The sequence below is a fragment of the Homo sapiens genome, chromosome 6, assembly GCF_000001405.40.
Source record: "Homo sapiens chromosome 6, GRCh38.p14 Primary Assembly".
NCBI lineage: Eukaryota > Metazoa > Chordata > Mammalia > Primates > Hominidae > Homo > Homo sapiens.
Genome location: NC_000006.12, coordinates 160180348 through 160181975, shown reverse-complemented (window position 1 = coordinate 160181975; position 1628 = coordinate 160180348). Strand labels below are relative to the sequence as shown.

At 40.5% G+C, this 1628-nt stretch overlaps 1 annotated feature.

Moving 5' to 3' along the window:
• Window positions 633-833: a silencer, noted in NCBI's record as "peak6287 fragment used in MPRA reporter construct". NCBI's record gives its function as "represses an SCP1 promoter by STARR-seq MPRAs in K562 erythroleukemia cells {active_cell/tissue: K562}" and the evidence as "EXISTENCE:reporter gene assay evidence [ECO:0000049][PMID:32103011]".

Below are 1628 nucleotides of genomic sequence, written 5' to 3'. Positions count from 1 at the left end.
GGAACCCTTTGGGGATCAGTCTAAATCAAGATGACCAGCTGGGCGCGGTGGCTCACGCCTGTAATCCCAGCACTTTGGGAGCTGGGGTGGGTGGATCACGAGGTCAGGAGATCGAGACCATTCTGGCTAACACGATGAAACCCCATCTCTACTAAAAATACAAAAAAAATTAGCTGGGTGTGGTGGCAGGTGCCTGTAGTCCCAGCTACTCGGGAGGCTGAGGCAGGAGAATGGCCTGAACCCAGGAGGCAGAGCTTACAGTGAGCCGAGATCAAGCCACTGCACTCCAGCCTGGGCCACAGAGTGAGACTCTGTCTCAAAAAATAAATAAATAAAATAAAATAAAATAAAGATGACCTACCTTTGGTTACTACATGATCCAAAGTTCAAGCCTTTTCTGTCCTTGAAAAGTAAAGGATATTGTATAAAAACATCAGGAAGGACATTAATGGCCATCTTCTATTTAGTTAAGTCTTTAGAAGCCTAGAAGAAACACAGCAGAGTCAGTCCCCAAAGACATGAGAACCTACTAGAAATGCATGTTTGGGATTCTGGCAGCTACCAAGAATGGCTAAATGAGATTTGCCATTAATATTTTTAAGAGTTTCTGGTTTTAAAACTGTATTCTTGATGTTATCTATAGATCTTACAGAAAAACCTCTGCCAATCTCAATGCATAAGAGAAAAGCAGTATTAAAATCTACAGGGAGACAAGCAAAAGTAGACATTTTATTGACATTCACAGTAGTGTTTATTTGACCAATACTCATTAAGTGTCTAGCAAGTACTATACTGAACATGGAGACACAGCATAGAACAAGGCAGATTCTTTTCCTGGATCATAGAATTCATGTTGTAGCAGAAGAGAAAACATTAAGCAAGAAGTTACAGTTCTGGTTATCATGGTGAATTGAACATACTCACCTAGAGCAACAACTGACACAAAGAATGCACTTAAGAAACGGCAGCCCAGAGGAGAAGTGAATGTTACAGGGAGACCTGGCCTAGGCTGGGAGCCAAGGAGGACTTCCTGAAGAAAGCAATGTTTTCAGTGAGATCTGCAGGGTAAATGGGAATTAACCAGCTGGAAGTCAAATATGTGAGAGATAACCTAACTTTATCTGTTACTTGAGACTATCTTGCCATGCACAGAAATAACTCACCACAGCACTGTGGGGCATTTAGCTTGATATATTTTTTATTGTGATAAAAGACACCCAAGATATTTAGCATCTTAATCACATTTAAGTGTACAGTTCAGTAGTATTAAATATATTCATATTGTTGTGCAATGATCACCACCATTCTCTCCAGGACTCTTTATCTTGCAAAATGGAAACTCTATACCCATGAAGCAATAGCTCTCCATTCTCCCCTTCCCCAACCCCTGGCAACCACCATTCTACCCTGTCTCTATGAATTTGACTACTCTGGGTACCTCATATAAGTGGAATCACACCGTATTTGTCTTTTGGTGACTGGCTTATTTCATTTGGCATGATTCACACATTTCACTTAGTAAGGTTCATCCACGTTGTGGTATGTGTCAGAATTTTCTTCCTTTTTAATGCTGAATAACACTCCATTGTATGTATACATCACATTTTGTTCATGCATTCATCTGTCAA